Source organism: Homo sapiens, chromosome 15, assembly GCF_000001405.40.
Source record: "Homo sapiens chromosome 15, GRCh38.p14 Primary Assembly".
NCBI lineage: Eukaryota > Metazoa > Chordata > Mammalia > Primates > Hominidae > Homo > Homo sapiens.
Window position 1 is genome coordinate 84,490,641 of NC_000015.10, and position 15,476 is coordinate 84,506,116.

Consider the following 15,476-nt stretch of genomic DNA (forward strand, 5'->3'; position numbering starts at 1 on the left):
TAATTTTTGTATTTTTAGTAGAGATGAGGTTTCACCATATTGGCCAGGCTGGTCTCAAACTCCTGACCTTGTGATCTGCCTGCCTCGGCCTCCCAAAGTGCTGGGATTACAGGTGTGAGCCACAGCACCCAGCTATTTATAGATATTTATAGAATATGACCTCAACTATTTAAACATATCTGTAAGGGTATAAGTACTTTGATAACAAAGAAGCAATACATACTGATAGAAACTAGCTATCATGTCAACAGTAGTTATATTAGGTAGAGAAATTATGTGAGATTTTTATTTTTTTATATTTTACTAATCTTCTCAATAATGGTTGCTTATAAGTTTTATAATCAAGAAAAAAAGGTTTCTAAAGTTTTTGCAAAATGGAAAGTTATGCTTCTTTATATACTAAAGACAAAAACAAACTTCCTATTTGAATACCTTTGACTTTTACTGCAGACTTACAGACCCTTGAAAGAAAAGGCAATCCCCTCCCACTAGTTTTGGTGTCATTCTCCCCATCTCTCCCTTCACTTCCACCTTGGTCTTCTTTCTACTTCCCACCTTGGCTAGTGGTCTCCACCCAAAATGCTTGCTTGGCTTAATGGTTAGAATTCAGGGAAAAAGAGATCCCGAATTGCTAATCTAAACTAAGATTATACATGTGGGAAATAATAAAGAGAAACCAGGTAGTAAATAAGATTTGGAGGACTTAAAATACCCAGACTTTAATTCCTCTAAGATTACAGTTGTTAATCATGTTTTTATATAATATTATCACTTACCATTTAATTTCTAAATATAATGTTCATGAGGAAAAGAGAAAATAGCTTGGTTTCTTTCCTCACCGAACTGTTCTCCTTAGTATCTTCTAGACGTTCCAGAACTGATGTCAGATTTGGCTCATCAGAGTCCACAGACCATATCGGTGAAGAAGATGAATAGGATTCCTGTTTAACCCAGAGACACCTATGTTAAATGTTTACATACAGACTAACCCAAATATGCAATTAAACCACACCACTAAATGGCAAGATGACCATGGATTTAAACAAAATGTATCAGGGGGAAAAGGCAACACGTTTAAACCCATGTGAGGAGCTGGACTTCTGAGACAGCCATTCTCCTTGCATAGCACTGTCTGCTGCTACAGCTCATAGAAGTCAACAACTTTCTTCAACACTGGTAGGCAGCCTTTAAATGGCCCTGATCACCCTCACCTCCTGCCATTCACACCCTTGTAAAATTCCACCCCTGGACCTAGTGACTCACTTCTAACAAAGAGAATACAGCAAAAGTAACATCGCTTCTGAGGTGAGGCTACAAGGAGACTACGATGCCTGCCTTGGTCACCCTTCTCCTGCTCTTTCCATTGCTCCCTCTGATGGAAGCCAGTTGCCATGTGATGAGGTGCCCTATGGAGAGGCCCACGTGACAAGGTATTGTAAAAGGCCTCTGACCAATGGCCATCTAGAAACGGAGGCCCAGTCCAGCAGCCTCTGAGATGAATCCTGCCAACCTGATCTTGGAGACAGATTCTCTCCCTATCCTGCCTTGGGATGATCACAGCCACCACCAACACCTTCACTGCCTGGTGAGAGGCCAAGCCAGTGAACCCAAGGTAAACTGGACAGAATCCTGACCCACAGAAACTGAGATAATGTTTGTTATTTTAAGCTGCTCAGTTTGTTACAGAGCAATAGATAACTAACTCAAACACCATAAAATTCTAATATTTTATTCTATCACACAAACCAGGTAATACCAAGTAAATGCCATTACTATACATATATTTTTGTAACACAATTACATGTGATTTTTTAAAAAAGCTAATGAACTATGCATTATGTGCTTTCACCCACTAACAGACATTTCTGCTGTTACTTTGTACTGTTCTCTATTATAAATTGGGGAAAAACCATTATTATTATATATTAGCTTCAGAATAACTAGGTTGAAGTCACAGAAAACAATTTTGCACAAACAACTTTAGGCAACACTGCTTTGAAAACTGTAATCTGAATTAAAGCTGAAGCCACAGAAACCAAATATTTACTGAAGGTTCCTTTTTAAGAAAAACAAGATGGGCCGGGCACGGTGGCTCGCGCCTCTAATCTCAGCACTTTGGGAGGCCGAGGTGGGCGGATCACGAGGTCAGGAGATCGAGACCGTCCTGGCTAACACGGAGAAACCCCATCTCTACTAAAAAAATACAAAAAAATTAGCTGGGCGCGCTGGCGGGTGCCTGTAGTCCCAGCTACTCAGGAGGCTGAGGCAGGGGAATCACTTGAACCCGGGAGGCAGAGGTTTCAGTGGGCTGAGATGTCCACTGCACTCCAGGCTGGCGATAGAGCAAGACTCCATCTCAAAAAACAAAAAAAAAAAAAAAAAGAAAAACAAGTTGTATTGATGGAGGACATCATTAACAGTATATCTCTTCAATAATGGTTTATTTTACTATTCTCATTCTTCTCATTCCTCTCTTACTGTGTTCCAAATCTCTTTACAGGCTAAAAGAAACTCTTCAGAATTACTCCTACAGGCTAAAAGAAACTCCAGAATTACTCCTATTCTTTTTTTTCTTTTTTTGTTTTTTTTTTTGAGACCGAGTTTCGCTCCTGTTGCCCAGGCTGGAATGCAGTGGCACGATCTCAGCTCATCACAACCTCCACCTCCCGGGTTCAAGCAATTCTCCTGCCTCAGCCTTCCTGAGTAGCTGGGATTACAGGCACGTGCCATCATGCCCCACTAATTTTGTATTTTTAGTAGAGACGGGGTTTCTCCATGTTGGTCAGGCTGGTCTCGAACCCCTGATCTCAGATGATCCGCCCACCTCGGCCTCCCAAAGTGTTGGAATTACAGGCGTGAGCCACTGCGCCCAGCCAATCCTATTCTTAAAGAACACCACTTACTGAGTATTGCATTTTCTTCTATAAATTCTTCAGCATACACTGAGAATACACCATATGGACTATTTTTACGCTTTTAATTTTGGGTTTTTTTTATTTTGGCTAAGGAAATTGCAATTAGATTTAGGACTTCATTCTGTTAGGTTAGTATTTTCTAGTAAACTTCAGCGTAAGCAAAATAAAATATGTGTTGTTGCTCTGGACTGAAACCCCTCAAAACCATATTTTAAAAATTACAAAAAAAAAATTAACTGAAATCAAGTTTTTAAAAACCTTGTAGATGAAAAGATATGATATCTAGTACGTCTAAGTACCTATTTCAATGGTTCCCAAAGTGCGGCCCTCAGACCCCCAAGTCCAAACTATTTTGACAGGAATATTAACATGGTGACATTTGCTGTAAGTGTGCAAATACAATGGTGGGTAAAAATGCTGGTACTTTAGCACAAACAAAGGCAGTAACACCAAACTACTACTAGTAGTCATGGTATTCTTCACTATGAACAGGAAAGGTTTAAAAAGGAAGGGTGGGTGGGGCATGGTGGCCTACGCCTGTAATCCCAGTGCTTCGGGAGGCTGAGGTCGACGGATCACCTAAGGTCAGGAGTTTGAGACCAGCTTGGCCAACATGGTGAAACCCCATCTCTACTAAAAATACAAAAATTAGCTCGGTGTGGTGGTGCATGCCTGTATTCCCAAATACTTAGGAGGCTGAGGCAGGAGAATCACTTGAACCTGGGAGGCAGAGGTTGCCTTGAGCTGAAATTGCACCTATGTAACTCCAGACTGGGCAACAGAGCAAAACTCCGTCTTCAAAAATAAAAATAAAAAGGAAGGGCAACAAAAGGTTAGTTTCATTTAAGAATGTCTATGATAAGGTTGGGAATTTTGGCTCATGTCTGTAATTCCAGCACTTTGGAAGGCCCAGGCAGGGGGATCCCTTGAGCCCGGGAGTTCAAGACCTGCATGGGCAACCTGGTGAAACCTCATCTCTACAAAAAATACAAAAATTAGCTGAACACAGTGGCTGCATGCCTGTAGTCCCAGCGTCTTGGAAGGCTGAGGCAGGAGGATTGACTGAACCCAGAAAGTTGAGGCTGCAGTGAGCTGTGATTACGCTACTGCACTCCAGCCTCAGCGACAGAACAAGGCCATATCTCAAAAATTAAAAAAAAAAAAAATGTCTATGATGAAGCAGTGAATATTTTACTATATCTAAATCCTTGAATATATCTTTTTAATATTTCAAGTGATGAAATGGGAAGTATACATGAGCATTCCTACAGGCTGCCTGAGAAAAAAACCCTTGAGTGACTAAGTCATGAAGTGAATTAACCACTTTAATGGAATACCATTTTTACTTGAAAGGCTGACTGACAAAAAATGTTATTTTAACTCGCATTTCTGGCAGATATTTTCTCAAAACATGAGATTCTGTCATTTCAAGGAAAACAACAGACAGGCTATAATAAAATTCAATAACAAAATTACTAATAAAATTCAAGCTTTTGAACAAAAAATTAGAATTTTAGAAAACTTATGTCCACCATCACTTTCCAAAAGTATTCTGATGAGATTGATGGTGGTATTGATGAATGTATTTTGATACTGTACAATCAAATGTATCAACATGTAGAAGATCCTAGTGAACCACTATTTTATAAGTGACCAATGCACGATGTTGTAATATCATGCAAGGGTGGAAGATCCAAAGTTCAAGAAAAACCAAGATTTGATGGAGTATCAAAAAAGAAGCCTAGGCAACATGGCAAAACCCTGTCTCTACAAAAAATACAAAAAGTTAGCCAAATGTGGTGGTACACACCTGTAGTCCCAGCTACTCCGGAGGCTGAGGTGGGAGGATCACCTGAGTCCCCGGAGACTGAGGCTGCAGTGAGCTGTGATCACACCACTACCTTCCAGCCTGGGCAACAGGGCAAGACCTCATCTCAAAAAATATATATATATCCACAATGATCTAAAATGTTATCTGTATGAGATTGGTCTTTGTTCACATTTTTTCAAGAAAATATCACACAATAAATTGAATGCAGAAGCAAACTGACATATCAATTTGCTAATGACATGTCAAACATCATGCAAATGACATATCAAACATCAAAAAAATTTGCAAAAGATGTAAGATTGTACTACTTTGGGTTTAGAAATTTTCTTTTCATAAAAGCATTTATAACAATATGTGGTGAGCTTTTAAAGAATATTTTAAATATTTCTGATTTAATTTCTAGTGATAAATACCAATAGATATACCCTACATAAACCAAAGCTCCTTGGGCCCTCAATGTATTTTTAAGAGTGTAAAGGAATCCTGACCCCAAAACTTGGAGAACTGCTGCCTTCCCCTCCACTTTCTTGCTTCCCTAGAATTTCTTCCTTGGAAGAAACATCCTTTTGCCATTCTATATTAACTTACATAGTTCCACTGAGGCAAGTTTTGCTACCTCCCTCCCATCTTTCCACCTCTCTCTCAACACAAAGCCTGACCAAAGGATTCTACCAGCCCACCCCATTTCCAGTGATTAGCTGTCAGGTGGGCTAAGCCAAACAAATCTGGGTTTTCCCTGAGACTAGACCTCTCTTTCTGGGAGAGATGGAATCACAGGGACAAGGTTGGCCACCTTGGGGTAGTGAGAATTCATCCTGCCTAAACAGGGAGAATTCAAACAAGTTTCTAGAAAGCCAAACTACTTTCTAGAAAGTCAAAGATAATTATATTTTTTGCCATGACTGTAAGAATGCCCATTTCATTGCACACTTTCTAACATTTTTACCAATCTGATAAATAAAAGCTGGTACTGAGATGAAAAAAAGGCTGGGCACAGTGGCTCACACCTGTATTTCCAACACTTTGGGAGGCTGAAGTGGGCAAATCACCTGAGGTCAGGAGTTCAAGACCAGCCTGGCCAACATGGTGAAACTCCGTCTCTACTAAAAATACAAAAATTAGCCAGGCATGGTGGCATGCGCCTGTAATCTCAGCTACTCGGGAGGCTGAGGCAGGAGAATTGCTTGAACCCAGGAGGTGGAGGTTGCAGTGAGATCACGCCATTGCACTCCAGCCTGGGCGACAAGAACAAGACTTCATCTCAAAAAAAAAGAAAAAAAAAGTTCCCATACAATATAATTTCTTCCATCTCTGGAAACAAATTCAGCAATGAGAACTGAAAGTCACCACGTGGAAGGTTTCAAGGATTTACGTCTACCTACTGATGTCTAAAGCATTAGTTAAGTTACAAAAAAATACGCACACACACACGCACGCACACACACACATACCCGTATGTATTCAGTACCAGAAAACATGACTGACTACATGGTAAAGTCATCCAACAGAAAGCACACAATAACTGAAGGCAATGTAGAGGAGTAAGTTATAACATGGATCTACAATACTGTTGAGTGAAAAAGCAGATTACAAACAAATATCTGATTTTTAAGGGAGAGGAAACATATATAAGCACAGGAGAAAAGAGGTGAGCAGATGACTGGAAAGATACAAATTTCTGACAGTGGCACCTTCTGAGTGGTAGAATTACATAGGTAATATTTTCTAGTTTTGCCTAAAAGTTTTCTAAATTTCTTAAAATAAGAAGGTTTTGTTTTCCATATTACAAAATATCCATCACCCCAGGAAATTTAACCTTCGGCACAAACTCTACATGTTCAAAGTTTGTTCAGTTGAATATTTAAGAGACAATCTATTTTGAAAGACATTTAAAATGACCAATATTTAAACCTATGCATTAATATTTTTCAATCACGTTTTAAATTTTGTAATTTTGATAAGTTTTAGATCCATCTTGAAAAGATAAATTTTCTGTTTGTCTTTAAAATATTACCTACAATATGCCTGTTTTTATACAGTTAATGGTGCTCAAAAATCACAATATAAATTCAGGCAGTGTTCCTTCTATAGAATGTGTAAGTGCTTCTAATACTGCTCTTTTTCACCAGTTATGAAAACACGGAACAATTATCTAAGCATCTAATTATTCAGGTCCTTTGTTTCTCCTCCATTCTGTTAGTTTTATACTAATTTCAAGGCCTGTGAAGATGAAGTTGTCTGTGACAGCTACCACAAAGGTTACTATAAGCAGACAAATTTCCAGCAAGTTTATCACCACTACCATCCCACCATAAAACTGTCTCAATCAAGGGCAACACAATTCAAGGTTAGTCAAGACAACCTCTTTACCTGTCACTGCTTAAGAAAAGGATTTTTTGGTCTTATTTAGAAATAACTTTATCTATTTTTCTCCATAATTCCACTGAGACCAATGTGTGCCTCTATCTCAAGCACCAGCAAGCAAAACTGCCTGCCAGTATGTTCAGTTTTTGTATCTTTCCAAATGTAGGGCACAGCTATCTTTTGATATCATAATTTTTTGAAAACTGATGCACAAACTTCTTCTTGAAAGTTCAGCCAGGTGCGGTAGCTCACACCTGTAATCCCAGCACTTTGGGAGGCTGAGGCAGGCTGATCACGAGGTCAGGAATTCAAGACCAGCCTGGCCAACATGGTGAAACCTGTCTCTACTAAAGCTACAAAAATTAGCCAGGTGCGGTGGCAGGTGCCTGTAATCCCAGCTACTCAGGAGGCTGAGGCAGGAGAATTGCTTGAACCTGGGCAGCAGAGGTTCCAGTGAGCCAAGATTGCACCACTGTACTCCAGCTTGGGTGATAGAGTGAGACTCCATCTCAAAATAAAAAATAAAAAAAAGAATTTCAGATATACAGCAGCTGTAATTCTTCTGAAGGCTGCTTATGGGACACATTACTTTCATAATTTGCTGTTCAATAAATGTGGGGTGGAGAATAAAGTAAATTGACAGAATTACCATATAAAATAAAATTCTAAGTCCTCTGACAACAAAAGAAACCACACACACACACACACACACACACACACACACACACACACACACACACACACACACACAGCTTTCCCTGCTAATCATTTTACAACAACCAAGTAGCTAACCCAGAGCCCACAAAAGCAGAGTAAAAATTCTAACACTTGGTAAAATAAAAATGCACATATATCCCTGTCATCTAAAAAAAAATGCTTACATATTCAAAGACAGCAATTGTAGCTACTGAGAACATCATTGTAAGCAAACTGAGGCAGAGAAAACAAACGTGCTGATGAGGATTTGAAACACCTAAGCTGCAGAAACCCACTGGATGGTTTCCTAGGTTCCGAGTTAGCATTATCTTTCAGAACGATCTTCTAGAAGAGATCACATAACACTGTTACAAAGGATCTGGAGAAAGGGACCCTGGCTTCATCACTCTGGCTCTCCAGTCATGCTTTACATTTTCACTTCTTACACTCTCTTTCATAGGAAGTCAATTTACAGGCCTCCATCAAGCCCTTAGAGACCTTTTTGTACTATCCATGACAAGTTCTTGATGTTATGTCTGCACTTCTGACAAATTCTTAGCAGTTAACTTACAAGGCAGTTAAGGTTTTTGTTCAAGCACAATATAGCTAGAATAGGGTCATACATTCAATAAAACAAATATTTACCAAGCATTTATTGAGTGGAAGATAAAAAGCACAAAGCATAATTATAAAACATTCTCCCCTGCCACCATAAAAATTTTTTTTAAAGCCTTACAGAATACAGCATAACATAACCAAAGCAAAAATAGTGAGGACTAAAGAGGGGAGGAAGGGGAAATATCAGCATGAATTAAATATGACCCAGAAGAGCCTTGATGGTCAGACACGTAAAGACAAATTGGGTAGGGTTAGGGGGTGGCTGTCAGGGGCACATTCTACAGGGGAAAAACAGCTGATACAGAAGCCTGAAAGAAAAAGCGGGCAGAGCACCTGGACAGGACTCTTACCTGCTGCATCCAGGGTACAATGCGCCTTTCCAGAACACAGCAGCGACCCGGGATAGAGGGATTGCTCAAACAGCACCAGAGGCTGCATTCCAACTTTTCCTCCATCAACGAGTCCGTTTTCATTGTTAGTTTCTCCTTAAACACGATTGGCTGAACATGCGGGAACAAGGAAAACCTGACTGAAGAACGAGGCATTTAAGCTTAAGGGCCTTGGATCTGGGCGCGGTGGCTCAGGCCTGTAATCCCAGAACTCTGGGAGGCAGAGATGGGTCATTTGAGGTCAGGAGTTCGAGACCAGCCTGGCCAACATGATGAAACCCCGTCTCTACTAAACAACACAAAAGTTAGCCAGGCGTGGTGGCGGGCTCCCGTAATCCCAGCTACTCGGGAGGCTGAGGCAGGAGAATCGCTTGAACCCACAGACTGTCAAGAGATGGAGGCTGCAGTATGCCGAGATCGCTCCACTGCACTCCAGCCTGGGCGACAGAGTGAGACTCCATCTCAAGAAGCGCCTGCCACCATGCCCGGCTAATTTTTGTATTTTTAGTAGAGACAGGGTTTTACCATGTTGGCCAGGCTGGTCTAGAACTCCTGACCTCAGGAGATCCAGCTGCCTCAGTCTCCCATAGTGCTGGGATTACAGGAATGAGCACTGCGCCCGGCCAAAAAACCGAAAATCTTAAAGGCCTTTCCCCTTCCCTCACTGGGCTCAAACAACAGCGGGAGCCGCCCTGCCACGCCCCGTCGCGGTCCAGGGGAGCAGGCTAGCTGACTGAGGGCGATCATGGGCCCCAAAAGGTCTGCGGGCGACGCGGGCTCCCACCTCAGGGCGCAGCGACTGGGGCGAGAGGTGCCGGCAGCCCCCAAGCCAGCCCCGCGGCAAGGAGCCAGAGAGACGCGCCCTCCCCCTCCTCCCACGCAAGCCTCACACAGCGGGGCGGGCCAGTAGCGGGAGAAAGGGGCGCGCTCGCCCCGCCTGGGGAACCGGGGCCTCTCCCGGGCAGGCTCGCCTTTGTCCCGGGACTCTGGGCGCCTCCTCTCCGCCCTCGCCCTGCCCCGTGAGGCCGCCACTGGGCGCCTCACCGTGATGTTGCAGTGGAGCGTGAGCTGCGGCGGCGGCTCCTGGTTCTTGTGGAAGATAGAGGCCAACAACTTCAGCTTGGCCTTGAACCCTCACACGGACATTTTACTCTCACCTCTGGCGGGAGGGGCGCGGAAGGTGAGCCCGTCGGGAGCCGCTGTCACGGCCGCAACCACCCGCGGGACCTCTCGGCGGCGCTCTCCCAGCTCCGCCTCTCCCTGATGCCTCAACTCTAGTCGGAGTAGGGCTGGAAAATGGCAAGGGGCACCGAGGCCTCTGCGGGGAGCTGTGTGGCGGCCTGGGCGGCTGCTCCCCTTGTAACAGACTCCACCGACAGGAGGCGCTGCTCCTGTCAAGCCGCAGCTTAAAAGGGCAACAGCACCACAGTCCCCGCTACCGCCTGGGAAAGGGCTGCCCCTACCCCGCTCCCGTCCCTCTCGCCCCTCACACCCGTCGCCCCTCACCCCTCAACCCGCGCGCCCCCTGCGCACCCGTTTCGGCGGCTGCAGGAGTCCAGAGCATGCGCGCGCTTCCGGCTGCCCCTCCTGGCCTTGACCCAGCACTGCTGGACCCATCTGGTCCGTTCTTCACACTCGCGGACTGGAGGCTCCGGGCAGCACAACCACCAACTCGTGTGTGTGTTGGGGTGGGGGTGGGGGGCAGAAAACCACCAACTCGTGTGTGTGTGTGTGTGTGTGTGTGTGTGTGTGTGTGTGTGTCTCCCAAGGGAACAGCACTGCTGAGTTCAGGCTATCAGCTCATGGACTGTCAGCAAAATACAGTCACAAGAAGGCTATGTGCTGTTTTGTCTCTTGCAGTGACGTCATGTTGCTCATGTTTTATGTTTTTCAGAGTTCATTAGTTTCTGTTTGCTCTCAGTTAATATCCAGCTCAATAGATTGTGTAAGTAGAATACCCCCAAACTGAAAGTCACCTACATAAAATATAGTGAAAAATATGTCACCCACTTAAACTATAGTTGAAAATATGTACTCATTAGTTTTGTGTAGCCAACACTGGATAATGGGTAAGGGGAAAGGATCCCAGGGCTAGACTGCCTGGGTTCAAGTTCCGATTTCCTGCTGGCTGTGAAATACTTGACAGCGTTCAGCCTCTGTTTCTTTTCTTTTTTTTTTTTTTTAGCTTAATCCCAAATATGATAGTAAGTCTCAGTTTCTTGATCTGAAAAACAGAAATTATTCAATGACAGTCTATGTGAAAACTTTAAAGTTTTCAAAGCCACTATCTAGCTTAGGAAAGTCCTCAGCTTTAGGGGTTAAAGTTTTTAAAACCACTGCCTGGTTCAGGAAAGCCCTCAGCTGTAGCCATTATTAGCTATGATTATTATTGTGGTGGCTACACATACATTAATGAGGCAGGAAAATGCTCAAGGATAACAAGCAAGTATCCAGATTATCTCATCAGACCAAGACAGATGCATATGCATGCATGATCATGTTTTAGCTCAGAGCCATTTGTCTAAAAGGCTCTTGAACTCAGAGGCCCAGGAGTATCAACTTTGCTTTGCAGTGGAGCCATCGCTTTTGTTAATCAATGAAATTGACATAATGCTCTTCTCTTTTTTTTCCTTTTTAGCACCAACCATGTGCCTAGAGCTAACTGTGTTAAGAAGAGCATGCTTCAAGTGGCTGGAGTGAGCAATTCAACTTGTGGAGGAATGAGAAGTGACAGTGTTGAGACAAGCAACATAAAACCCCAGGGTAAGGTAGAAATCACTGAAAGTCAGGCAAAGGAACTGGCGTCCAGTAATGAGTCAGGCTTTGCCAGCCTCTGGCCCTACAGATGGCTCTTTGCAGAGGAAAAAATTAAGCCAGGCCCGAGGGCACAGATCCTAAGGGAATGCTGGCAGCTCTAGGCTGTCTATGAGAGTCCAGAGATGCTGCTTCACCCTGGGGCTTTAGGCAAGTCCCTTTCCCTCCCAGAGCCTCAGCATCCCTTCTAGCAAATGACGTTCTGCCTTTCTCCTAGGATGGCTGTGGGGATCAAGGGAGACAGTGGCCATAGGGATACTATGTTAACTGCAGATGCGGCTGTAGGAGCACTTTGCTAACTTCCAACGTGAGTTCAGACTCTTCAGGCTATTTGGCACCCAGATCTATGGTGAGGTGTGACATATGGGATGTAAAGTTTGATGCCTGCTCCGACTCCAGTCTTGCTAACACACACGAAACCTTTGGTAAATCATGACCCTGCCTTGGGGAAAAGGGCAGTCTGGGAGAGCTTCTTCAAGGCAGCCTGGCTTCAATGCAGTCTGGGGCATGACTGAGATAGGCATACGTGGTGAGGAACTGGAGGGCAACTGGGTAAAGAGCTGCAGTGTGGGCAGAGGTGTAGTGTGGGTCACATCGCGGATAGCCACTGGCCAAAGCAGGGAACAGAGACAGAATGAGGAAGAGCTCTGTGGGGAGGGTGGGGCACAGGGTGGAGAACCTTCAAAGTCCAAAGAGTATGACTTGTTGGGATTCAACGCTGTAGGCAGTAGGGAGCCATGGAAGGCTCTTAGGTGGAGAAATGACAGCCGGACATTAGTGAGCAAGCCCTGTCTCCCTGAGCAGCATGGGTGGTCCTCTGAGCACGCCAGGCACGAGTGTGCAGGGAGCTGGTGCAAATGCCTCTGTGTGCAGGTGAGCATCTGTGTTGTGACTCTGCCCACGCATGTGCTTCAGCGTGCCGAGTGGCTGCACGCCCCAGATCCATGCGGCACGTGCCGGCCGGTGAGGGTGCTGGGCATTGGGAGGTGGCGGGGAGGGCGACGTATGCGTGTTGTTTGTGGGCATGTGTGTGAGTGTGTGCATGTGGGCCGTGGGGCCTCACAGCATGTGTGTGCACACTCCGGCATGTGCGTGTGTGTGTCCCCCACCCCCAGGCCTGCCCCACCCATGCATGTGACCTGCCATGTGATTTGAAGCTGTCTTTCAGAATCACTATCAGTGGCCCCTGAGGAGCGTCAGCCATGGTAGGTACATGCCTCACTGCCTGCTGCATGAATGGTCTGCCTGCCCCGCTGCCCCAGCTCCACACAGGGGGCATACCTGGAGCCTCAGAGCCAGGCTCCCTGCCCCTCCCTTCTGGAGCTGCAGACTTGCTCTTTCCTCTTTCTGTCCTTGTGCTGCTGGCTGTCTCACTTTGCTCCCTGTGAGCCATGGGACTCAGTGCCACTGCTCAAGGTCTCCATGGCTGAGCCTGGGGGCTCTTACAACAGGCTCCATGCCCAAGGTGGCAGTTGTGGAACCATCAGAGAGGGCACAGAGCTCATGGTTTATGGTGTAGGGGCTGGGAGCTTGGAGGGGGTTGTGTGGGGGGCTGGACTCAGGCGGCCAGAGGCCTGGGAACATCATCCTGGGCACGCCGTACCTGTCACGCAGTCTGAGTCATGCTGCCAGGGCAGGTATCCAGCTCCCAGCCTGGGAGTGCCAAGAGCCAAATCCACGGCAGATTAGGGGTGATAGTCACGGTCCCACGTCCTCTATCTGTCAGCAATCCAGTGGTGATCTAGGATAAAAGCCTGAGAGTCCTATACACGCGGTCATCCCACAACACACTTCATAGGCCATGGAAGGACACACAGCCCCCTTCCCTCCCTCCCAGGTACCATGATAGCTGCTAGCGTGCGACTGAAGGCAGGGTCCCTGGCCCCTGCTGAAGCACTACTGCTGGCCAGCAGGCTCACGCACCTTGGCCTGTTGCTTCTAGGGGTTGCCTGTGCTATTCAGCCAATAGTGCTGCTGGCCCAGCTGAGCGCCGCCTAGAGAGCTCACTTCCCTTTCCTGCCACGGAGTCTCCCTCTTCTGCTTTTCCCAGCAGGAAGGGCCCAGCCTCACCTATGTAACCTGCAGCCCCCCGCCAACCAGTTAAGGCTCCCCTCTTAGACTTAGAAGTCTATGGCCAATGGCATCCGGCTACCTGCCCTCCCTGCCTTCCCCAGGGTTCCTCAGAGGACCCTGGGCTTTCTGATGGCCCAGAGGGGCCTCTGGCATTCACTCCAGCCAGCCATCCCTTATAGCTCCACCATTTTGGTTCAATCAGTGTTCCTTCTCTATCAGGTCTGGTGGCTGTTGGATGGGGCTCTCCAAGCAAGAGGTGGCCCTGGGCCAGTGCGTTGGAAGACATGGGGACCACAGAAGAGGGAAGCCCGAGGGAGCTGGCATTGGTCTGAACTGTGGGTGGATGGGTGGATTGCCTGGGTTCCATGAGACAGGCCAGCGTGTGTGGGGTAGGGAGGGCCGCCGCAGTCCCCAGGCACTACCTATGAAGCTCCAGCTTCTCCCTCCATCTCCCTCCCCTTTCCCTTCCAGCCCCTCTTTTCCAGGAACCTTGCCACGCCCACACCTACGCCCTCCCCTCCCCGGCCCTCCACAGCTGCTGCAGCGCACCCATACTCTGCACTTGCCTCACCAGCTCTGGCTTTTCTCTAACCCGTTTTCTCTCTGCTTTCTCTCCAACTGCCAGCTGATCGGGTCAGGCAAGTCCATCCCGTCCTGAGAGCCCCAGGCCCCACTTCGACCTCTAAACACATCCCTCCTCTTCTCAGAGACCTCCCTTTCCAAGCCTGCCTGGGCGGGTGTCCTGTGACTTGACAGTGGCTCCCCCAGCCCCAAAGCCAGCCCCCTTCTTCTGTGACTTAGTCTGTTGTAGTGGTGAGCTGACACGTCCAGGTGTGACCGTTGCTGAAAACTTGTGCCCCCTCTGTGGTATGCCCCTGCCCTGTTCTATAAATAGCTATAAATTCTCTCTCTCACACACACACACACACACACACACACACACACATATATACATATATATACGTGGCCAACTGCCTCACCTCTAGCACTGGGAATCAGTCCCGTGCTGTGCTTGTGGAATCTTGTAGCCCAGCAAGAGGAAGCTGTCTCCTGACATCGCCCCTCCAAAGTGCACCACCTCCAGTGAGCTTCCGGGACATGCGCGGCCTGTGGACAGCCAGCCCCCGCCATCCCTCCCGCCCTTCTGGCCAAGCATGGCGGTGCTGTGCAGGCAGCTGTGTGGCCTGACAGTCTCTACCAGTCCTGCTGTCCCTTGGCTGAGAAACCCATTTCTGGATGACAGAGAATGTGTCCTCTGCTGGCTGTGTTCTCTATGGAGCTCAGGGGATGGAAAAGGCCAAGCCATTTTTAGGGTGCTGTTGGGAGCAGTGAAAAGGTCACACCCTTTTCAAGGGACACTTTTCCTGGAAAGTCCCTGGAGCTTAGCTGGCTCTTACCCTGTGAAGCCAGCTCTGGCCACTAGGGGACAGGGCCCTGAACTCAGCCTGGAGGGAACCTGCGGGGCAGCCGGCACTCTGGAGGGACAGACAGGCCACCCGGTGCAGACAGGAGAGGGAGGCAGGGGGACAGAACGGAAGACACCTGGGGTGGATGGAAGTCAGTGCCCTTGGGCACTGGTATCTGTCTTCCCTGCCACAGCTAGATCAGGCTTCTCAACCAGTTGGCTGTCAGGGCCAGAGTGTACTCCGTAGGCGCCATGGCAGTCCCCATGAAATCCACCAGGTGTCACCAGGCAGCATACAGGTAACAGGCCTGGAAGGTCCCCAACAGCCCAGCTGGACATGCTGAGACACTCTGGGGCTCCTCATTCAGTGG

General features: G+C 46.8%; 2 pseudogenes, besides 1 other annotated feature; one reads left to right on the top strand and one right to left on the bottom strand.

The window, feature by feature from the left end:
• UBE2Q2P12 (UBE2Q2 pseudogene 12) lies at positions 834-8,897 on the bottom strand (annotated as a pseudogene).
• Positions 9,157-10,023: an enhancer, noted in NCBI's record as "H3K4me1 hESC enhancer chr15:85043028-85043894 (GRCh37/hg19 assembly coordinates)". NCBI's record gives its function as "activates a minimal SCP1, AML or CMV promoter by ChIP-STARR-seq in naive H9 embryonic stem cells {active_cell/tissue: H9 hESC(naive)}" and the evidence as "EXISTENCE:reporter gene assay evidence [ECO:0000049][PMID:30033119]".
• Positions 13,680-14,947, top strand: DNM1P40 (dynamin 1 pseudogene 40; annotated as a pseudogene).